Source organism: Homo sapiens, chromosome 3 (genome assembly GCF_000001405.40).
Source record: "Homo sapiens chromosome 3, GRCh38.p14 Primary Assembly".
NCBI classification, from domain to species: Eukaryota; Metazoa; Chordata; class Mammalia; order Primates; family Hominidae; genus Homo; species Homo sapiens.
Genome location: NC_000003.12, coordinates 132016025 through 132040074, shown reverse-complemented (window position 1 = coordinate 132040074; position 24050 = coordinate 132016025). Strand labels below are relative to the sequence as shown.

At 40.4% G+C, this 24050-nt stretch overlaps 1 protein-coding gene across 7 annotated transcripts in view, besides 4 other annotated features; it reads left to right on the top strand.

Annotated features, from left to right (window-relative positions):
• Positions 1–468: 468 nt before the first annotated feature.
• CPNE4 (copine 4) overlaps positions 469–24050 on the top strand; it is a 506038-nt gene continuing 482456 nt past the window's right edge. For 4 of the 7 annotated variants that reach the window (NM_001388327.1, NM_130808.3, XM_047447422.1 and 1 more), the window contains exon 1: positions 5061–5508. Coding sequence is in view for 2 of the 7 variants with exons in the window: in NM_153429.2 (NP_702907.1) it covers positions 2466–2518 (53 nt within the window). In the remaining 5 variants the exon portion in view is untranslated. Of the gene's footprint in view, positions 551–2314; positions 2519–5060; positions 5509–24050 lie in introns of those variants that run through there. The other 3 variants (NM_001388326.1, NM_001289112.2, NM_153429.2) reach the window with 2 other exon arrangements.
• Positions 4837–4936: a silencer, noted in NCBI's record as "silent region_14739". NCBI's record gives its function as "represses an Ori minimal core promoter by ATAC-STARR-seq in GM12878 lymphoblastoid cells {active_cell/tissue: GM12878}" and the evidence as "EXISTENCE:reporter gene assay evidence [ECO:0000049][PMID:35858748]".
• Positions 5312–5481: an enhancer, noted in NCBI's record as "experimental_64660 CRE fragment used in MPRA reporter constructs". NCBI's record gives its function as "activates a minimal promoter by MPRAs in K562 erythroleukemia cells, with activity observed for both the introgressed and non-introgressed 3:131753523 variant alleles {active_cell/tissue: K562}" and the evidence as "EXISTENCE:reporter gene assay evidence [ECO:0000049][PMID:34662402]".
• Positions 10501–10550: an enhancer, noted in NCBI's record as "active region_20536". NCBI's record gives its function as "activates an Ori minimal core promoter by ATAC-STARR-seq in GM12878 lymphoblastoid cells {active_cell/tissue: GM12878}" and the evidence as "EXISTENCE:reporter gene assay evidence [ECO:0000049][PMID:35858748]".
• Positions 22437–23636: an enhancer, noted in NCBI's record as "MED14-independent group 3 enhancer chr3:131735283-131736482 (GRCh37/hg19 assembly coordinates)". NCBI's record gives its function as "activates an origin of replication core promoter dependent on BRD2, BRD4, P300/CBP and CDK7 cofactors, and independent of MED14, by STARR-seq in HCT116 cells {active_cell/tissue: HCT116}" and the evidence as "EXISTENCE:reporter gene assay evidence [ECO:0000049][PMID:35650434]".

Here is a 24050-nt window from a genome sequence, read left to right as displayed (position 1 = left end):
CTTGAAATAAGCAAGGATGGACCAGAAACTGGTAACACTCACCCATGGAATTTCATTATGAAGTCGTGGCAAGGGCCAAGCCGACCTGGATTTGAAACCCATCTCTTCAACGATGTAGATTTTGACAACATATTTGATTTCTCTGGGCCTCAGTTTGTTATCTGCACAAAAGGGAGATATGAGTGGTTACGTTATTGGATTGTCATGAACATTAAATAGGATAATGTCAAATCATTCAGCCAAGTTTCTAGCATATAGTACAGGTTCAAATATTATCTTTTTTTTCCCACCAACCTCTTTTCCAGGAAAATGCAAAGCTACTCTTTAGCCAAATTTTAAAACAGGGGATATTTATTTTGGGAATCATTAATACCCATCTGCCCCTTTTTTGGTCCATTGGACATATTGAAATGAATGATTAATACTTATCACTTCATGGTGTACACATTGTTTTGTTTCTTATATCCAGAGTCTAGTCCTCAACTCTAACCAAAGTAAAGGAAACTGGAAAGACACACGCTTTTTCAGTCATTAATAGAAAGTTGTCCAGGTAAGTTTCTGATGGTATATCAGTTAGAAATAATATTTAGCTATTTGTAATAAAAAGCTGAAAACAGTAGCTTGAATCAATGGAAGACTTTATTTTTCTCCTAATACAGCTGACAATAATGTTGTTGCCTTTATGATATCAAAGCCCCAGGTTCCTTTTATCTTTCTGCTTAACCTGCCTTGGCAAATGCTTGCTGCTTCATAGTCACATGATGGCTGACTTACTGTAACCTTCAGGTAGAAAGAAAGGAAGAGGTAAAGAGATAAAGGTACATCCCAGCTGATTCAGTATCTCCTTCTCTTTGAAAACTCTCACAGAAACTGCCCTATAACTTCTACTGACATCTCATCTCAATGGCTAGATCAGTGCTATATAACAAAACTTTCTGCAATGATAGAAATGTTCTATATCTGAACTATCCAAGATGTTAGCTACTAGCCACTTATGACTGTTTAGCATTTAAAATGTCACTTGTGGAACTGACAAAATCAACTTTTAATTTTACTTGATTTTAATAAATTTAAATTTAAATAGATACATGTGTCTAGTGGCTACCACAATAAATAGTGCAGGGCTAGACCTTAATCACATCACTACCCCATCTGCAAGAAAAGCTGGAAAATGAAGGTTTGGAGCTAAACACGTTGCTACCCTCCACAAAATTATGTTTTTCTTAGTAAGGAAAAACAAACAAAAATGAATATAGGCTGGGCAGATAACAGCCTCTGCAACCAAGGGATATTTGCTTGCTAATATTCCTTAAGCCCAGAGGAATGGAGTGCTAATGGGTTTATCATAGGCATGAAAAATGGTGTGTCTGGGAAGATATTATGTAGTTAAAAAGCAGAATCTTGGAGCTGGAGTTCAATCCAAATACTTTCTTTTTACAATGAGAAAACTGAGGCTCAGAGGGACAACTGAGAGACCTCATTAATAGAGCAATAGGAAAATCTGCTCTGAAATTATACAGAGCTATTTAGTGGCCTTTATAACATCACTCATGATAAAATGTAAAATCTCAGAAAGAAAATGCCCTCTGCCTATGGTTTTTAAAATACAGGAAAGAAAAGCTAGAGATTTTGATGCCACCTATTGGTAGACAGAAGTATAAACTGCCCTTTCGTAGCACAGGTTGTTACCCAATGTTAGAGGCACCACAGGTGGTATAGGGTTCTCATAAAAAGGAATGACAGACAGTGGAATATTTAATTCCTGCATCAGCTTGCAACATGTATGTTCATTTTCCCTTGACTCTTAGCATCTTAGAAAAAGTGCTTTCTTAGAGTGTTCCTTTCTGCTTTCCAGTAATACATCACACCTCAGGCATATACAGAAACACCAGAGGAAGACATATCAGTCAGTTCTCAAAAATCACTTGAAATAGAAAAAAAGAACAAATTTTTGAGCTATAAATAGCCCTGGGGTGAGATTCAAAGTTCTTATATGATCCACAGCCTCAAAAATATATCCTGTTATTTACAACAGTTTCCTTTAGTAGTTCTTACAGAAAAAAAAAAAAAAGAAAGAAAATAAAAGGAAACAGAAATTCCATTTCAAAACTAAATGCTCACCCTGACTCATTCAGGGAAGGATCCAAGGTTTTTGATGCAGGGCACTGACTCTCTGCCTGTTTTTCCCCTTCATCATCTGCTCCCCTTAAAAAATGGTATCAACTGCATTGGTAAGAATCCACATTTCTTCCCTTTTGTTCCCTGGCTTCATTCCAGGATTTCACTTGTCACACTGATGGGTGAGATGCCTTTCATATTGGCATAAGACACTGAGCGGATGCCTCCTCTTATCTTATCAAACAGAAACCCGGCGAGTGAATCTACCCAGAGCTGAAGCTTCCTTTGCAACTTGGGAACACCAGGGCCACAGTGACTTTGTGGCTTGGCTTTAGATAAATTTGACCATGGCTGTAGAACCCAGCAGCTCAGAATCCATTAAAAGGAGAGCTGGGAGGAGGTGAGTGATAGAGACAAGGGGATTTTGATGTTACAATTGTTGAGGGGACTGTGGCTGGCGGGCAACTTGCTGTGGGGGCAGTGATTGAAAACATGGATTATTAGCTGGTTACAAATCTTCATTTGTACAGATGAGCTGTTGATTTCATATAAGAGGTGGAAGTAAATTCTGCTTTATGTGCCCTGTAAAAAGCTTCTTTGAATTTACCTTCAGTGTCATGCCTTCAGAAAAAAATTCCAAGTTTCTGGCATAAAGCTGCACGTTTTCTGCGCACTGGCATGCAGGCAACTGTTTGTTTCTAATTACGGAGCTGAAGCCTGCTGGCAAAGGAAACCATATTTGTCACAAGTTGTGGCATTGTGTTTAGTTTGTGTATCTATGCTTTTAACATGTAGGGCCAAAGATAACTATGTTGTTTTTCTTTTTCCCTATGAGCATTGACTCTATAACTTCTTTTCTATGGTCCATGTGTTCACTTATTCTAGCTGCCCCTTTAGAGACTGCTTCAATGAACAACCCCTATCCTCCCATTAACTAGTTGTGTTCCCTGGTCTGGTCATTTCAACCGCCCACACCCTGGATTTATTTTTGTAGATATAGTAAAACTTTCTTGGGCAGGTTGTTGTAAAAATTAAATGGGATGGTAAGTAGAGTGCCTAACAGATTGCCTGGAAATAGTACATGCTCAGCACATCTTAATTCCTTTTCTCTCACCTGTAATATAAGAAGTTTATGTTGAATGGTCCCTAAGGTATTTATATTATTTTTAATTTTATAAATGTAGAAGGTGGTAGACACCTTTCTAGGCATTGGGGTTATAATTATGAACAAGACGACAAAACAGACATATCCCTTGCCTTCATAGAAATTAAATTTTAGAGGATACAATTAACATGCAAGGAAATGCACAATGACTTTTCCTTCTTCTTCCTTCATCTTTGCAAGTTCAATCCAATTCAAATTTTGAGTTTATCTCTGAGGCTACCTCTTAACAAAACCTGGAAGTAATGTTTTTGGACTTAACATTTTCATATTTAGTAGTCATACACTGGTTTTGCCTGCTTAGCATCCGTCTCCCCTTTCCTGGTAGGAGGACCCTGAATATCCCTTGGAGAATTGTCCCTGTGTCTCACTCGCAATGTGTGTAGATCAGGTGGGGCTCCATCCTGGCTCCAGGAGTGCTATAGAAGACATCACATGCTCCTAGACATTGTGGAAGTCCTGGCCCATTAGTGTAATTCCATATCCAAAGGTCACAACGATTGACTTATGCATAGCCATGTGACCCAAGTTTTTGCAATCAAAGCAAATCCAAGGATTTCTGTGGTAGTTTCAGTGTACAGAGAAGCTCCCTGAGGTCCTTTCCAGGGTCCATGTTTAGTGTTATCCTATTTCAGAAAGGCTTTAGAGGTGACTGAAAGAAGAAAAATGTTATTTGTGTTCTGTCAGAAGGTTGTCCCTTTGTTTATCAAAGATATTTCTGTCTACTTCTATAGAACAATTAAGAGGGGGTCTTCCTCCTTACCCTATTGGTTCTCCTTTTCTGGACTTTGAAATTGAGAACTTCATGGTTAGTGAAAAGATTTTGGCTAATATCTCCTCCAACCTTCAGGTTGGAGAGGCTTTGTTAGATAGCCCCTTAATAGGGTGAGAAGGAAGACCTTCCATCTCCCCTCCACGTTAGATGTAACACACTCTATACCATCCCAATGTCAGAAAGAGACCGTCATTCACTTTACTTCATTAATTCCAAAGTCCAATTTGTGAGTCTGACAATACCAATGTGCAGAGAGAATTTAGTTGTCTAGTTTGTCTATGGTAGCAGACATAATCAGAAACAATGCCCTGTATTTGAATAAGTTCATTTGTCTGAATTTGAATAAGTTTGAAATAGGAAGGCCATACTTTCTCTCTAAAGTGCTTTAAAACATGTGGAAGTGGTCACCCCTTACATAAGACAGCATATTTATATCTATCTTTAAGCATAAGTACTCCCTAAGTATTTCTTTATCTTATTTGTGAGGTAGATGTATTCAGAAACTCATCATGAGATGAAGAAAATACTCTTTGTCCATTAATTTACTCATGCATTACTTACTAAAAATAATTTCCAGGCTCCTGCCATACGCCAGACAGTTTTGTAGACACGAAGGATCCAGAGATTAGCAACACCTTTACCATTTTTGGTGACAGTTAAGCACCCATCTAAGAAGTTTTCTTTGGTGAGTGCCAAAAAGTGTAACTCCCATTCCCCCCACACCCGCGCCGCGATACGACCGCTCCACCCTAGAGTGGAGATGGAGACCAAGCACTTGGAGATCTAAATCAAGTGTCCCCAGGAGCTCAGTTGAGCGACAAAGCTGAGCAGAAAGCCCAGACTGCGGGCGCGGCAGGACCACGGAGAGCGCCGCCGCCAAGGCCTGGGCGGGGCCTGAGCTCGGGTTCCCGGGGCAATGCTCGTCTCCGTCAGCAACCCCCAGGGGGCGCTCGCGCGGAGGTTTCGGAACCAGTCTCTTGCCGGGTTGCTGGGTGCATGGGATTCGTCAGAAGGTGGAAATCTCTCTGTGAGAAGCTGCCATCTCCCCGCCACCCGCTCGTCCCCTTCTCTTTCTGCCACCCTCCTTTCCTTCCTCCCTCGCTCCACTCCACTCCCTCCCTCTTTTCTCAGTACCCTCCTCTTTACTCTCCGAGTTAACTGAGAGCCGACCTGACATCTCCAACATTTTCACCCTCTTCCCCCACCCCCATCACCGAGAATGGAGTCAGGGTTTCCGGAGAGACCGAACTCTGCTCTCAGCACCTTTCCCAGCCGCTGTTGCTAAACTGACCTCGGAGGACGAGAGGGGAAGGAGGTGCGACGCCCCTTACATCAGTACAAAACTACCACACCAACCACCTCCACTTCAAAGCCGGATTTTGCATCCTGGGGGCGGGACAGACCTCGTCCCGGGCTGAATTCTCTCTCCACTCTTCGAGATTGGCACACCCAGGTAAGTAAATGCCAACTCTTCATTCCTGTGTTCCTGGGGCGCTGTGATTGCAAAGTCTGTTGGAGCTGCTGCGTAGCAAGACCAACTTTTGAGATGCACTGGTTCTCGCTCACCTTTGCACGTTTGTCATTGCTGTTGTTGTTTTAAAAAGCAGCAGCAAGCAACGTCTTTAATCTGAAGGGACTTCCATCCCCTACCTCTCGCCTTCTGACATCCACCCAACTCGCCCAGGTGGGGTGGGGCGAATGGAGTTGGGGAGAAAGACCGCGGAGGGGAGGGGACAGCATGGCACGGGTGAGGGATAGGTCAGGGAAGTCCCGAAGGCGGAAGAAGGGGTACGGTTTTCAAAATCGGGGAAGGGGAGGGGAAGGGAGTTCTGGCTGAAGTTGCAGCTTCCTCTCTGACAGTGAGAAAGCTGTGGGACATTGTAGTCCCTTCCAATGGCTTGACCTGGCTGCGGTTGGATTCAGCCTCTCAACCTCCTCCCCCACACTTCTTACAATGAGGTTCTAATAATATTTTAGTTGCCTCTTCTCAGTGTTAAAAACTAATGAATAGGCTTGCAAGTGCTTTGATTCAACGTAGTCCTTCAGCGCTTCTTCCTCTATGGAATAAAGTAGCCAGAAGGAAAGGGGGACGGGGACAGGGGACGGGACTGGAGGGACCACTGAAACCAAGCCACAGCTGAGTAAGGAGATCACGACCCCGCGTGGTATCACAGACACACGAGAACTGTTAGGGCTGAATCCAATGGAGATAATTAGGAGGTGGTCCACGCCAAGTCAAGCGAGTGCTGATTACCATCCGGTGAGGAGCAGGCTAAACCCTGATGAAAAATGCTCCTCCTTCATCTTGGAGTAGGTGGGCTTTAAGGCCCTATTTCCCATTCTATGTTCCAAATCTGACGGCGCCCCAGGGCGCCTTGGCGGATTGCCTTTCAGCCCCAGAACCTGCTAGGCTCCAGGGAAAGTCACAGGCGGCAGAGATGATCCAAGGGGCGCAAATCTATGAAGGGCTTGATGTGGGTGGTTGGGAAGTGGAGGGGGGAAAGGTGAGCAGAGTGAGGCGGGAGGGGGCTAGGGAAGCGAGAGTGCTCTGGGAAGCTTTGCAAGAGAGACATCTGAGAACCTCTCCCTCTACACACACACACACACACACACAGACACACACACACACTCACACACTCTCACAGGATTTCAGTGACTTGTGGGAAAAGATGCCTCAGCACCTTTACACCCTGTGTTCAAAACTATGCAAAACCAACTCTTCATCCTCTTGCTGCTTTGCCAGGGATTTTAAAAGCACTGTTCTGGTTTTTCTTGGCTCACTTGGTTTTGTTTCCTGAACAGCACTTTTGAGCTGTCCAAGATACTTTAATATGTTATCTTTAAATGAAACTAAATCCTGCTCATTCGCGCGCCCCCGCGCGCACACATACACAGGCGTACACAATTACCTTAACTTCAAATAAAGTGTTCTTTTCTCCATACTCTTCTATTCCCTTAACAATCCCTGTTCTCAAAGGCCTTTGTGTTTTATTTTCTGCTTTATAACAAAACAAAAAAACAAACACCCACCGTCCTATGACACAGGTGTTTTGAATCCATGTCAATTTTTGTAGTTAGTATATGCTGGTTAAACCACATAGCATATCCCCCAAAAAGCCAGAGGCAAGCAAAAACTTAATTTGATGCCCTTCAAGTTTCGGAAGGTCCCATTTCTTTTTATTAACCAAAAGATAAGATGAAGCTCAGCATGGCTATGGCTGTGATTAGATAACTTCTGATATTTTCATTTCCCTTACCGAGCTGCTGCTTCTAGGCTGAACTCATTCACCTGCCCATTTTTAAAGAGAGACTGACAAAGTCACTCTGGCAGGTCAGGACTCAGAGTTAGTCAAAAGTTCTCACATGTAGAGAGGTGCATAAAATAGAGGGAGGGTTGGAAAATGCAGTCAGAACACCTGTGTTAATAGTGCATACTAATAAAGGCCAACATTTTCTCAACTATCTCTCATGGGAAGATTCTTATGGTTTTAGAGGATCAAACTCAAAACACATCAGAATGAGGTGACTTTTCCATTAACATTACATAAAAGGATATATTGGTCTATAGCAATAGTAGATGTTTAATCCTGGGCAGTTTTGTATGATTGTGTGAGAAGAGATTGCCTATAATTGAACCAAACCTCTACTTATGTGTTAACAAGTAAAAACTCCCATGGCCATCAAACTTATGCCTTTCCTGTGAGTGGTCAACCTTATTTTTATTCTCCCAGACACAGGCCCAGCATATTTGACTGGGAGAAGGCACAGATGCGGTACAGTGACTTCCCAGTTTGAGATAGTTGCTTTACTAAAATTCCTAAATATTTCTTTGAAAATAGTTGCTCTGAGTTGTTTCTTAAGTGTAAAAAGAAATTAAAAGACTTCCTGTTTATCTCCAAGTCTCCAGTAGCAACATGACATTTTGGTGAATTATTGGTTTGTCTTAAGGGGACTCTGGTTTTAGAGGTTTTAATTAAAAGGTGTTTGTTCTAAAGTATACTTAATCTGCTTGTGTATTTCTAATTAAAAATACCTCATTTCAGTTAGTAGGAAGTAAAGATGTTATCTGTTTATAGAGAAGTTTTATGTAATATTCCAAAACAATAGAAAAAAGCTTTGATTCTTTTAAATAATTAGATTATTCAAGCCCATTATTATGACTTAAAACCTTGAGGTTATACTGACTATAAGAAACAATCACAGACCAAAAAAAATGGGTTAATGGTGGAATCTTTATTCTCATATGTATTTGAATCTTTTGGAATTAATACTGAACACATTTATAAGGTTTGCACTATGCCTTCTTCTGACTTCACTTCGAAAATTCTTTGAAATGTAACACCCTAGAACATTATGTTACCTTTATCCACATAAAGAAAGGATCTTTTCATTTAGAGATGAACTTATTGAAGATGAGCCGTCAGTGTTGTGTGTAATCAATACCACACATTTTCAGAGTGGTCTGAATCCAGAACAAAGAATGAGACAGGTACTCTGATGATATCAACTTGGCTAATTGGGTAAAAGTCTCTACACTAGTTGGGAAAAATCACTTCATGCATCTTTGTATTTTTTAATCAGTGGTGTGTAAGAAGATCTGTATTCCGTGCACTTTGAAGAGAGAAAGGGCTAAATTTGTGTTCCATATTTGATCTTTCCATTTTTGTCTTGTTAATATTTTAAAAGAAAAACAAAAACCTTTGCAGATCCATTCAGTAACCCAAAGTCATATTTCCTTGGCAACAGTAGCCAGTACACTAGATTTACAAAATATCAAAATAGAAAAATTTAAATGCATTCAAAATAAAATGTCACATAGTTCAAGACCATTCTTTGGTGCATTAAAACTGATCTTCCAACATGTAATAATACAGTTGCCTTTCTCCTGATTGAATGTAGATGGCAAAGAATAGATTACTGATTTTAATTCTTTTTAAGATGTCCCCAAAATCTTATAATATTTTCTTTTCAGGGAAGCACATTATGATAATAATTTAGGTTGGGGTTACACATCCATTTTTTGGATAAAGTATTTATGTGATAGTTGATGGTAAATCCAAAAATCAAGCACAATAAATGGGTCAGGTAAGATGCATCATCTTTTCTATGTTATTTGAAATAGTCTATAGTAAGGCCTCAATTAGTGTTAAACTCAGTGAATATCTCCTAAACTTGTGACTGCATAATAAAAACATATTAGTGCCTACATATACTTTCAGGTTTTCTTTTTCTGTACTAGAAACTGCAGTTATGTGGGAGCTTTCTGTTTGCTGTATGAACTACTAAATATATGTGATATATTGGATATATTTTCTCCTAAATCAGCACATCCTGGGAAGTCCTTTATTTGTCTGCTGTATTCTTTGGAAACCCTCTTGGGAACCATCAGCTTTTAGCTCAGTAAATATTGAGGGTTGGAAGGCAAGTCTCAAAAATAAGAAAGTGATAAGGATGCCTTCTTTGGGAAAGTTTATTCCAGTCCTATTATTTTAGTCATAGGGCTGGAAGGGGAGCCCATTTAAGCTGATCTGTGATGGACTCATCTCTAAACTGTGATCAGCAACTTTCAACAGTGCAATATTTACCCAATAAATGTGATTGAATTTGTACAAAGTCATTGTCTGCAGCCATCTCCGTTAATGTGCATGTTCTATGACTCTCAGAACTGGAAGAGAGCTTGGGGATCATCTGCTGACTCTAGCAATTTAATTTGACAAATGTGGAAACTAAAGCTCAAATAAGTGACTTCTCAAAATCAGGAGACTCATTCAACAACCCTTCTGATTACTCCCCTCATAAAGAAACTCAAGTTCCCTGGAGATAATTACAGCAGTGGAGCCAATCTCTGGCACCATGTGCACTGCTGATCTTTATTAAGTATGAGTTAGGGATGATTGCGGGGGTGTCTCCCACCTCCATTAGAGTGTTAGGAGGAGTAGGCTTGGGACTTATTACATTGCTGTCTCTTGGAGCCAGTGCAATATTTACCCAATAAATGTGATTGAATTTGTACAAAGTCATTGTCTGCAGCCATCTCTGTTAATGTGCATGTTCTGTAAAAAATTGCTCATGCATAGACTTAGCTTTCTATTTTAAATGTCACAATTGAGTCAATAAAGTAAACAAAGAGAGTTTATGAGTGTTTACAGTTCCAGGAACACACAGGGGAATCCTTTATTCTGTTTTAAATTAAAGCGTCATTCAAAAAGAACAAACTTTCTTAAATGTTGCTTTTACATCTTTGGCTCAGAACACAGTATTTCTAACTTTGTTTTTCTTATTACTTAGGAAACTAGAGAAATTTCTCCTTGGAAATGTCAGGGGGAAAATACAGTATTTCGGATTAACTTTAGAAAGCTCAGGTTTAAGGCTTATTGACCAGAAGACCTCTTTCTTATCCAAGTGTAGGGCAATTCATTGCACCTTGAGGTAGGGGAGGAGCAAAATCAGGCTGGCAGGGGTCCACGGCAGGGCAAGCCCTAGGAGCTGGTGAGTCTAGAAGGACGGACTAGAGAGAGCTGGCATTGGAATGGACAATCGCTAGAGGGCGCCGGAGCACTAGCAGAGTCAACCTCCGGGACCCATAAGCAGGGCTTCTAGGATAAGGAATGGAGTTTGACCCAACCCCAAGATATGCCCTGGGGATATTGGTTTTCTCAGGTGCATCTGACTCTCCGGCCTGGATTGCCTCGCTGCGGAGAGGGGACAAAAGGTTTTGCCCTGAGCATCTGGTGGTGTCTTCCAGTGCCTGGTTAGGTTGCTCCGCGGCTGGACAGTCTGACTACTCTCAAAACTCCTCGTGACAGGCCTTTCTGGGGTCTGATCGCCCTTTGTTTCCTTACACTTGGGCCTGTTATCAGAAGAACTCTGAATCCGGAAATACCTTGTTTAAATTTGGGCTACAGTTTTCAAGATCCAGGCATTTGGGTGAATCACTTAACCCGAGTATTAGGATCTGGAAAATGGGGCTAGTAATTGTTGTAAATGTGAGGTGTTTAAAAGTGTCTGGCATTTTAGTGCGTAGATAAATGCTACTTCCTGTGCCCATTCTCTTGGGAGTTCTCCCCAAACTTCACCCTTTAAAAAAAAAAAAAAGAAAAATTAAGAATATATTTTACTTAACACAAAATTTTAAAAAATCATGTAATCGATATAGAGATTATTGAGATATTTTACATTCTTTTTTTTCTAGTACTAAATCTTTGAAATCTAGCATGTATTTTTATACTTACAGCACATTTTAATTCAGATTTGCCACATTTTAAGTGCTTAATGCTCCTATGTGGGTAGTGGCTACCCTATTGAAACAGTGCAGATCTATAAGAAGAGAAAATAAAATTACTTTCGCCATTTTTCCTTTTTGTTAAAGGTTAGCAATAATATATACAATGCTTGGCACACAATAGGAGCTTAACACAGGTTCACTGTGATTGTTATTTGCTATCACCATTTTATTTTTAAATGGGCCTCTTCTCCCATCTCTTATCCCTTCCCCCATCTCTTACCCCTTCCCCCTCAGCAGAAGGGTCTCATTCATCTATCTGTTGAATAATAATTGGTCACAGCATTTATGTCAAAAGCTGTGCTAGGCACTGGGGATAAACATAAAAACTTGAGGCACAGGCAGACTGGTGAAAAGAAACATTGAAATTGTGCTGTTAAGTGTGAGGAGAAAGATGAACAAATGATGCTAGGTAAGAGATAAAGAAGGAGATATTTGGTTTGTCTCAAAGGACCTGGGAAGTGGTCCTTTACAAGTCCTGTTATACTAAGGTGTTTTTCCTCTCCCTGTATTTCAAGGAAACAGGTGGACAGAAGGTAATTTTGAGGGAGAAGTGGAGGGGGTGGCATCTCATTCAGCAGGCACTTTGGTTTGTATGTATTCTTAACAGCGCTAATAGAGATTCTAAAATCTAATCAACTTGCACCATGCCCTGTATGTAGTAATTTCATCAATATCATGAAGTAAATGCCTAAATCATTGACTTAATTCATTTAAACAGAAAATGATTTGGAAGGAAATGTAATAGAAATATAACCAAGAACCTTTACCATTAAGTGATGGGTCTGAAACAATCTAAATAAGAACTCTGTTTTAAAAATATTGAAAGGTGTATTTCATACAAATATCCATAAAAATGAAAAATAATAAGGGCAATAGAATGGCCCAAAACAATACTTTATCATTATCATTAAAGACAAAGAAGGCTTTTAAGATGTTAGTAGCCACTAGCATTGCAAGATGACTGAGGTGATGTCTTTGTTATCTTCGGAGCAGTTGATTCAACAGGTAACTCAGAGATATAAATTTCAGTGGCAAAAGTCAAGGAGTTTTGCACCTGACATTGTGCTAATGTGAAACTAGGGATGGACACCTTTGATCATGTGTGTTAACGTTATCTGGCCAGGTAGACTGCAGAGCTCCCGAGAAGCCATTGTCAGATTTCTTTTGCTTGGTGGCCTTTACGTCCTGTGACTTGACTGATTGTGAATTGTATTGGAGAAAAGGCACGATAAGAGGAAAAGAGTGGAAATAGTTGATTTTTTGGCAACTAATAACACTCATGATAGCTCCTAACCTGATTTAATTTTAAAAAGATGGGAAAATAAATGCCTCTTATGGAATAAGAGAATGTGAGAACTTGGCAATCCCATAAAATTATGCACACCCCTCCCATTTTCCAGATAAGAAAAAAGAGACTCAGCAAGGTGAAGTGACTTGCTCAAGCTCGTTGGTGGCCTAGTTACAGCAGTGAGAATAAAGGCTTCTTCACTCCTGGGCCTGGGGTTCTTCTCTGGCCCATGCCACACCACACTCCTCTCTCCTCTCCACTTCATGCTTCAGGGGGTCAGAACTCTCTCTGTCTTGCTCACAACTGAACCCCAAACAGTGCTAGGTACCTAGTAGTTGCTCAAAAACTTTTGGTTGACTGAATGAAATAAGCTGTTTCTTTCTTCCTCACTCATATCAGGAAATGTGCCAAGAAATCACAGGGTTGCAATGCAGTTTGATAAAGACAAATATGTGTTAAGTTTTGTTATGATAAGGGCTTAAGCTTTAAAAGTAAGCATACTTAGTTTGAACGCTGGCTCTGGCACTTAATAGCTGTTTTGCTTTGGGGAAATTACTAAACCTGTCCCTATTTCCTCATTTGTAAAAATGGAGATTAAACCATATATATAAGGCTATAAGGCAGAAGAGAGGCCTTGACTCACTGTATGTATGCACTCAATGTTTTTTTCCTACTTTCCCAACCTTGCTCTCCATCCATCCTGAGAAGATTTAAAGTGGGATATAGTACTTCTTTTAAAAAGTAATGTTAATTTATTTCAGATAATATGCATTTATCTTGCAGAAAAATAAAATTATTTAATTATATAAATATAAATACATACACAGTCACTAGAAGTGTATATTCTGTGGGTTAGATATTAATAGTACTGTTTTATAAATAATTTGGTCAGTTGTCAAAGCACTGGCAACTGGGAGGAAGAGGAATGAAATTTAGGGTATCCCTATTCCAATTCAGACCAGGGCACATTTATCCAGTCCATGCTTCATAAGATCTTTGCTTCTTGGGCTTGGATTCTCCAAGTTGAAGTTAATTCTCTTTACCATACCCTCTCCTGGCCTGGCTATGCTTCAGCCCCTGCATTGTGTGCCTTGTAACATGGTTATTCATAGATATGACCATGTCTGTAGCATGTTGCAAGCTTTTCCAAGTAGCAGTTGTATATCACACTTCTTGATATGACTCCAGAGAACCTAGAACTTTTTTGGCACATAGGATACTCCCTCTGTCACTCTGGGTGCATCTCCATTCCCTTAGCAAATATCCTGCATCCAGGCAAAGCATGCTTTTAACTTACTCAAAATCTATTCTACGCCTGCTCTCATTTATTAAAAATATTCTTATTATATTTTGATTATTGACTTTATCATATCATCCAAATTGATATATGAAGTTGTATGACATATTACTACTGCACATAGTTGTATCTGTAATACAACATATATTGTACTTCATGAAAAATTTATAATATTTTTCAAGGATTATTTTGACTACGTGTGTGTTGTACTTTACGCATTGACTTTAAATCACAGTCCTCACCTCAAATGTGCTCCACTATATTTGCAAGACTATTCTGTGTGTTGTATGTAGGTAGGTAAGATTGTGTATTGGTGAATGGCATAAATTTTAAGTCAGGAATTCCTAGGTTTGAATTTCAGCTCTGCTTAACCTGTTGAAGCTCAGTTTTCATAGATATAGAATGAGAATAATGATTGTGTCTATGTTATAGGATGGCTGTGAAGCTTGCTGTCACTTGGAAATTACTCAAATTGCAACCTTTATTTGCTGGTGGCATCTCTCACAAACTAGAGGCTTATTAGTAGTTAATTACCCTAATGGTAATGGTTTGCTGTGTTGCAGGGGAATTGTGAAAATTAGAAGTGTGTTTATGAAGGTATGGTAGATATCAGCAACAAAATGTATGCTTTTCATAGCTACTGAATCATTTACCCTTCTTCTCCCTTTCCTCCTCTCCTCTCTCTCTGTTCCTACTCACAAATTTTATGCCCAGCCACAAAAGGTGACTCAAGCGTTATGCTGGAGTTTCTCTAAGATAAAACTTCCTCTGTTTCTAATGGTTCCAGCTTTATTTCAAATGAAAGGTACGTTTAGTACTGGCCCCAGGAACACAACCAGAATACAAAATCAATCATTCCACCCTACAAGACCAGCAGCAGAAATTTATTGTATTTGACTTTGTTTCCCCTGCCCTTGTCCCAAAAGGATCTTAGGCTGCCAGCATTAGACAACATATTGGGTATCTCTCTGTTACGAAAGTCTAAAATGTTACTGGCATAAAATATTATCTTCAAGCCATGGTTCTCAAACTTGAGGATGAGTCAGAATCTCCGAATCTCCTGGAGGGCTTGTTAAAACCCGAAGTGATGGGCCCTTCCTGTGGAATTTCTAACTCAGTGGGTCTAGGGTAGGAGTAAAATAATTTGATTTCTAACAACTTCTAAAGGTGATACTGATGCTACTAGTTTGGACACCACACTTTGGGAACCAGTGCCTTAAATATTTACTTTATGTAGACAAGCCATGAATTTTGTCTCCTGTGTGGTACCACTGAGAACAGCATTAGTGGTAAAGAAAGGGATCTGGCATTTACTGAGCACCTATGACATTTGCCATCTGCCAGGTACCTCATGGGGCACTTTATACACATTATTCTATTTAAGACTCACAGCCACCCTGTCAATCAATTTATGATTATTTATTGAGACCCTATCATGTATCATGTAATGTGCTGTACTAGACTTTGGTAATGTGGGATGAACGAAACAGACATAATCCTGACCTTCTGGATATTATATTTCAGCAAGGAAGACATGCTTGAGCAAATAATTATAAGGGTGATTAGCCTGATATATAAAAAATGGAAGACCAGAGAGGCCAAGTAAATTGGCTGTGATTACACAGCAAGTGGGAGACAGAGGAGACAAATAAAACCCTTAAAAACCATTTTGCTCCAAAATGTACAGTCCTTCCACTAAAACATAGGTGCTCAAACTTTTGATCCACAGGGTGCTTTACACTCTTAATAACTATTGAAGACCCCAGGGCTGGGCGCAATGGCTCACACCTGTAATCCCAACACTTTGGGAGGTCAAGGTGGGCAGATCACTTGAGGTCAGGAGTTCGAGACTAGCCTGGCCAACATGGTGAAACCCCATCTCTACTAAAAATACAAAAATTAGCCCGGCGTGGTGGTGTGTGCCTGTAATTCCAGCTACTCAGGTGGCTGAGGCAGGAGAATCTCTTGAAGGTAGGAGGCACAGGTTGCAGTGAGCCAAGATTGCGCTGCAGCACTCTAGCCTGGGCAACAGAGCAAGACTGTGTCTCAAAAAAAAAAAAAAAAAAATTACTGAAGACCCCAAAGAGCTTTTGTTCACGTGTATTAAATCTATCAATATTTACTGTATTATAAATTAAAACAAAGCAGTTTACCCGTTAAGAACTGCTGTATCAGACCCATGCTGCAAATAGTAACATCTTTTCTAGACTCTGAACCTGAATTTGTTTTGATGATTTTTGTAGCCATCAAAGATGAGAAACTTCTCATCTCCTCCTAAACATTTGTTTTAAACCCAAGGGCTTCTTTTAAGCCTTAGCCTGTATGTCTTGTGATGGTGACTTGCTAAATAAAAGGCTGATCTGGGCCGGGTGCGGTGGCTCACGCCTGTAATCCCAGCACTTTGGGAGGCCGAGGAGGGCGGATCACGAGGTCAGGAGATCGAGACCATCCCGGCTAAAACGGTGAAACCCCGTCTCTACTAAAAATACAAAAAATTAGCCGGGCGTAGTGGCGGGTGCTTGTGGTCCCAGCTACTCGGGAGGCTGAGGCAGGAGAATGGCGTGAACCCGGGAGGCGGAGCTTGCAGTGAGCCGAGATCCCGCCACTGCACTCCAGCCTGGGCGACAGAGCGAGACTCCGTCTCAAAAAAAAAAAAAAAAAAAAAAAAAAGGCTGATCTGCTTTGCAATTGCCTTTTGAAATATTTAAATCTTTATTTATTTTAAAAAGCAACAATTAAAGTATCAATCACGGACCAAACTAAGATGTAGTGGCTTTATTATCCCTTGAAGGATGTAGCTGAAGGTGAAGATAACAGCTCATAAAAGTTTGTGAGCAGCATTGTGTTTGAGTTTCTCTGGGTACACGGCACTGCAAAGGAAGCCCCAGAAAGCAGGCTGAGGGATCACTTCTGCTGCCTCATTAAAGCAAGAGAAAAAAGATGAACGATTGGACTAGAGTGCGTGAGGCTTTTATATAATGTTGGCAGCTGAATTATGGGTTAACGACTGAAATACAGCCCTTTCCCCTCATTTTAATTTGTTGTCTGATGGGAATGAGATGTTCTATAGATATTTTATCTTGGTGTGTAATGGTCCGTGGTTGTTCAGACACTTTGATGCTCTGGCTGACTCTGAATGCTTTATAGCATCATTAAGTTTAACTGAGTAAATTCAACTGAATCGGAGCTGACATAATTCCATGTGGTTCTCAATCGGTGATCAATGAACTCAGATTGCCTTTTATTTTTATGGAAACAAGCGAATGACGGGGGCTGCTGCAGTAAGGTTACTGTGATTATATGGATGTAGCAGATCCTTGGATAAGAAGTTAGAAAACAGGGAATCAGATAGTTGTCTGACTGTTTGGTCTTTTTGACACCAAACATCTAAATCACTGGTTTGCTGAACAACTTTTAAAATTTTTATCCAGATGTTTGACATCAGGCACAACTCACCACCAAACAAGTCAAAAAAGTGCAGATGATCATTTGTCATTTTAGTAGAAGCTGAAATTCACTGTGAAGCATCTCTGCCAGCTGACCTCAGGCAGCATGGATTATTATTATTATTATTTTTTTTTTGTATAGCATCTTTGTGTACAGGAAATACATTTCTGGAGAGAAGCACTTGCAGGAAGGTCCAAGCATCAGTGATTGTACGGCAAGTTGTACCTGTTTTTTTATGCAACATCAAGCAGGAATCTGTGCTGTCCCATGAGGGGCCACCTCCTGGGAACTCTTTTACCTGAGTTTCTTATTCTTTAAGAAGTTGTGAGTTACTTGTCAAGAATTCTCAAATTTTGACTCAATGGTTCCATGGGAACAATGCATATTCTCACTCTGAATGATGAACCCTGTTGGTTTCACAGATTGCTAGGGCTGCTTTTAAGAACTCCTTTTCTCTAAAGCAGGCACAAACAGGGAAGATAGGTGGGTCTCCTTGTTCCTTACTTACCTACCCCTGCCCAGGGAATGGGCTCAGGGAAGACCAGACCTGCCTTCTGATCCTACATGTCCATGTCTGCCCTGTATTTGACTTGCCAGTCAAGCTAAGCAGCCTGGAAATAGACTTGCTGTCTTCAGCAGAAATGGTTGACAGTTATTTTCTATGGGGTGGAATAATAGGGACCTGCCTAATCCTATGGGAATATCATCTTCCCTATGCTGGGGAGAAGAGGTAATATCCAATTTGGGAGGCCTGGTTCTTGGTTACTTAGATCGAAACTTCTATTCCACTTTGCTTGGATGGAGAGAAACAGTTCTATTTGTGAATCCGATTCCCTTCCTGTGTTTTGTGAATACTTCCAATAGGTGGTTACAAAGTTTACTTCCTAAGCTCCTTGTTCTGTGATTTCTTTCCTTTATACATACATTTTTAACTTCTATGAATGGGGAGGTTTGAGGTAAATTAAGATCTGATTAAGGCAAACTTGAAGTCTGCAGCCCAAAAAAGGTCATTGTCAAATGAGATCCAGTAGAACAGGGATCAGCAATCTGTAGCACATGTGTCAATTTCAGTATGCACACTTTTTTCATAAATAAAGTTTTGTAGAAATACTGTCATACCTGTCGTTGTCCATAGCTTCTTTCACCATATAATGTCAGAGCTGAATAGTTGAAACAGCGACCACATGATGTGCACCGCCTACTATCTGATTCCTGATAGAAAAAGTTAGACAACCCCTGCATTTGGAGCATATTTTTATTTGGCCATCTCCAGGAACCTACATAGGAAACATATATAGGGTTCAAAAAATCCAAAGGACTATTATTCTGAAATATGAACTATGGGCCAAATAGCTAAGTAGTAGAACTTTGTTGCTATGCATTGTGAGGATCTTGCACACAGTAAGTACTTGTGGCATGAATGATTATATATTTCTAGATGAATGACTTATGGTGTGGGTTCCATTTACCCATTTATAAAATCAATGTGTTTTATTTAATCTCTAAGGATCCTTCTTGCATGACCATTCTACATAATATTAGCAAGAGAGGTGATGAGGCAAACGTAAACACTTTTGATTCTCTGCATCCCAGTGTGCCAATGTGACAGCCACAGTCTCTTGAATCACCATCAGTCAGATTTATTTAGCATCAGCTGGAATTATCAGGCAGGTACAAAAAGCATGACCATCTGCTGTCACAGTGCTATCAAGAATCTTACCTGGAGAGAAAAAAGGGGATTTAAGAGTTGAGAGCATCAAAGTTGTGCTTTGTGCTTGTTTTGAGTTGGCTTATGGAAGTGGGGTTGAAGAACATACTGTTTATTGTTTGTGTTCAGCAACATTTGAGACTTCCTCGTGTGCGGGTGCAATTTTGGGCATGTTCCAGCTGTGCGGGGCTAGGGTTAACAGTGTCCTGTGATGACCTGCTGTGAGTGCCTTCACTCATGTACCAAAATCATAGGTGAAAATCACACTTCCACTGGTTTCCAAAATTACTCTTTAGGGAGTTGGAGAGCTATGGATGAATTACTTGGAGGGGTGGAGATGATGGTGATCATCTAGCTCTTATTGTCCTCCTTCCATCCCCCAGGGAAAAAAAGTGTAAAACATGTGATCCTGAAAGAAATGTTCATGCTTTATGATATGATTAAGGTAGCTGACTCCCAATTCAAAGCATATACTATGCCACCCTTCAGGAACTGGAGTTCCCACAGTCCCCCTTTCCTGAGAAGACAGCCGGAGTTTCTCTCAGCTCAGCTCCACAGATTTGACCATGGGGTTATCATTTATTAATTTAGACATTTTAGAGGGAGGCACGCTGTCTCTGCTAAGGTGTGAGCAGAGCCCCAGCCTCAGCCTCCACATCAGAATCCCAGGCTGTACCCAGAGTTTTCCTCTCAGGCACTCCAGCCTTCAGAGTGCTGGGATTCAGACGGAGCAGCCCTGCCTGCCTCCCATCTGTGGTAAGTGACTTACTCTCTATGGCAGGATGGGATGGCTGAAAGCAGGCAGGCAGTGAACAACCTGGGGCTGAGGAGGGGGAAAGCCCTTCACAAGCTCTTGTCTCCCATGTGCAGGACGGGTCACTTTTTTCCATTTGGGAAGAGAAGGGTAAGAGGAACAGGATGGGACTGACACTGGCATGATGCAATTTGTGCCGCGTTCTGACTCTTGTACCTTTAAGTTCCAATTTGGAATCGGTTTGACTTTAATTTAGAGATCCATGATGGTGGTGAGAATGTCCTTAATGAGCGTCACAAGTTTAAATGGCCTTTCCCAGCAGACACAGGCTGTAGGGCTAGTGGGCACGGACAGACAGATAGACACAGGAATGTTGCATAAATAGACTTTATCTGGTCCTCTTGGCTGAAGGGCAGCCTTTGTTCCTTTTTAGACTTTTTGTTTCTGACAGTTCTAATTCTTATTAGAACTTTTGAGAACCATTACTCAAAAACAAAAAGCAGAGGGATTGCTTTTTGATCTGCAAATCAAAAGCATGAATTTGGCTAATATTGCATTTCAGTAAAGTGGCATCATTGGGTCAAGGGAGAGCATTATGCTGAATTTTCCTGAATGCTGAATTTTTTTTTATCAGTTGCCTTTATTATTCTGTTTTTAAAAGTAAATGGACAAATTATATGATTGTAAACCTTTCCTATTCCTGTATATGTAGATCTTTATATGTCTCAATAATATATGTCATCATTCATCAAATTTATTTTTCAGATGCATTTTGTCACAGATTTATGCAATACTGTACCTATTAATTTGAATCAAATTGATTTAAACTTTAAAACAATAGCTGTATGACTGTTTCTCTTACTCACCAAGGTGGGCTTAGATTTCATGTGCAATCAAGGTAAAGTCTTAGTGTAGAAGTTTTTTTTTTAATAAGAAATGAGACTGTTTCTGTAGCTTGGAAGTGAAGATGCTAATATTTGGTCTCACAAAATTGGACATAATTTAAAACTTCAACTTGCTTTCTTGCTTGTTTTATTTGTAAATATTGTTCCTGGCTTTGAGAACTTCAGAGCTTTTCCTATTTTTTTTTTGTTTGCTTCACAACTCCTTAGGAATGTGAAAATGGAAAGGTAATAAAGGAAATCTTTTCAAGTTAAAACATGATTCATAAAGGTGACAGCCATGCCATATGTGAAGAGTGATTAACAGCTGCAGAGTCTGCAAACAGCTTTTTAAAAAGTTCTTGATAAAGCAGAGTTTCCCATTATTTCACGTTTTGGTGGTTGCTCAAGTGCATCGCCCTAATTTTCCTAAGCTTCATTTTATTCTGTAGCAATCGAATCACTCTTCAGGTCCCAGCAGTGCTATATTAGGGCATGCTTAAATATTTCATGTATATCCCTGGTTATTCTTTCAGTGATATTTTCAATTTCATGACAATGATGTGGTATATTAAAGCCATAATCTCCTCTAAAGCTGCCCATTTTATTTCTGCAGCATGAGTTTGGATAGGCAGATATGAGAGCATTTCCAAGGCTTGCCCATTTGGAACTGGTTTGCTTTAATGTAGAGAGTTGTGATGGTGGTGGAAATGTGCTTAATGAAGTGTTACAAGTTTAAATGGTCTTTCCTAGCAGACACAGGCTGTAGAGCTGGTGGACACAGACAGATAGACATAAAGATGAGGGGTGCTAGGGGAAGAAAGTCCCTACTTCAAAATTCAGTTGTCATTTTAGCAAAATAGGTTAATTCTAGAAAATGCATTTTCATGAAACTCAGTTGGCAAATTAATCAATCAATCACTCTTTTCCTGATTAGCAAACCCCTGACAACTTGCTTTGCTTCTCCTCAGGAGTACAGGATAGTAGTTTTAAAATATTGTTCATGCCACAGTTCCCTTGGAGAAACTGCTAAAAACTATGGACTCTCTAACCAGAAAAATCAAGCCCACATAATTGTGTGCATCTGATTTTGGGGGTTTATGGACATCCCTAAAGCATACACCTTCTTTTCCCATCAAGAACTCCTTCTTGGTCTCAGCAATAGATGTCTTCTATGTGGCAAAATTCTTTTTTAAAAATATATACATTAACACTCACACACTATGGCATTTCTGTTAGAGGGAAAAGGGAGCAAATGGAGACGTCTTGGGTAGGCTCTTTTTTAGGATTGCCACAAAGAGTTGTACATTTGCCAAGATTTGGGCATCCAACCTTCCTGTGTTGTCTGGGGGCACACTCTGAGTTGAGCATCTGGGTCTTTAGGGGTGGGTGGAGGAGGAGTGATAGCAGCGCCTCAGGGAGTTGGCAGTGAGGGAGGCATGGCTGTGTGCCAATGAGTATCCTCAAAGATTCTCCCCTGCCCCCACCCCGTGGAGCCTCTGAGCCCTGATTCCCTGATGGGCTGCCCAGGAAGCCGGTGGGCTGAGCATGTCATGTGATGCCTTGGCACTAATAAGAGGAGAAGGCCTCCCGCTATAACTCCTGTTGGAGAGCCAGTGACATCCCAGGCTTTTGCCCAAATGTCCTTGAGTTCTACACCCTGAGCCTTGAAATGCAGCTTTTCTGGGGCTGACTTCCCAGGATCGGTGGTGCTGTACTTTCAGGAGATGGTGTTTGCTGGCCAGTGAAGCACAAAATCAGAGTGAATGTGGTTCACATACAGCTTTATGTAGGTGCATCAACGAGCCTGGAACTAGGTGCCGGGTGCCCTCTAAGACACCAAGAGCTATTTTGGAAATAGAAAGGGAACAAGTATATAAAAATGGAAGATCCAGAAATACAAGGGTAAGACTTGTCCTTTATTCCTTCTTTTCCTCTTTTTTTCCATTCTCCCTACTCTTCTTTTCATCCTTTCTTCCACTCCTTTTTAATCTTTCCTTCCATTTTCCTTTCCATCCTTCCTTCCTTCTATTCTTCTCTCCTTCTCTTTCTTCCCTTCTCCCATCTTCTCTCACTCCTCCCTTCTCGTCTCCACTTTCTTCTCTTTTATCATTTCCTTTCGTCTTTTCTTCCTTTATATCCATCTGCTCATTCCTTACCGCCTTTCTTCAATTCAACAGACATTTTCAGTTGTTTACCATGTACTGTTTCTTATTAGCTTGTGTGGAATTTTGATTACTTTTCCTTCACAACAGGTCTACCTTCTGGCTACCGAGGGACATTTTTGTCCTGCATTACCTTTCCCCAGCTCCTTCTTTCTTCTTTGCTTGCCTTCTTTAGTCATGTGATCGGCTAGCATATATTGAACACCTACCACATGCAATTTGCTGCCTTAGAGAAAAAAATCTAAAATAGTGATGGACTTCACTCTGAGGAAGGTTAAAATTAAATTTAAGAATTGAGGTACACACATGTGAAAAGGCGATAATAGTGTTATAGTTACATGATGTCACCAAACAGGAATGTGAGATGATGCAAGACAGTGTGAATATGACTGCTAGATGGATGAAGGAGAAGCCTTTTGAGTCCTGAGAACGGACCAATTTGTGAGATGGGTGGGTTTGAGAAAGACTTATAGAGAAGGAGAGTAAACTAGGTTTCCAAATAGGATTTTAATATTCAAAGAGGAGAGAAAATTTCAATCCAGGAATTGATGTAAGTAAAAGTGCAGTGGTCTTTATTTTTGTTACCCCAGTTTTTCAAGGTAAAGTTCTAGGAGAACCTGTTTTTCTCTCTCAGGGTTCCTCTGACTTCTTCACTCCTGGACACTGCCATCTCCTCTTCAGTGTCCCCCAAATGCCATTTCTCTTCAGCTGGTGATGGGCTCAGGGGAGCCATCTAGTCTATCTCAGACCCATTCTTGATCAGTAGATTGGTCACTTTATGTTGCAGGCAAAAACCTGCTGACAGTGGAAAGCTAAGTTGAAGAGAGAATGTTGAAATATAAGTCCTAGATCGGTGGTTGAAATTCCAAACTTTGATTTTTGTAAGATCTAGGGTAAGCCAAAGCATGCTTCTGAGGCTAATGGTCTGACACAATGGATATCTCAGAGAGCCTGGGAGTCAAGAATTTCGTTTGGAATTCCTAGGTTAAGTGGTCTAGTATGATTGAGTTCAATCCAGGGTGTAATACGTGGCGTGCTAGTGAATTTTTGCTTTATTTGTATTGCACAGCTCAGGATTGAAAGAATCTTAGAAGTTATCTTGTCTTTTACATGGTCCAATTATATAGTCTGGAAAAGTCTCCAATTTTCTTACTCATTGATATGTACATT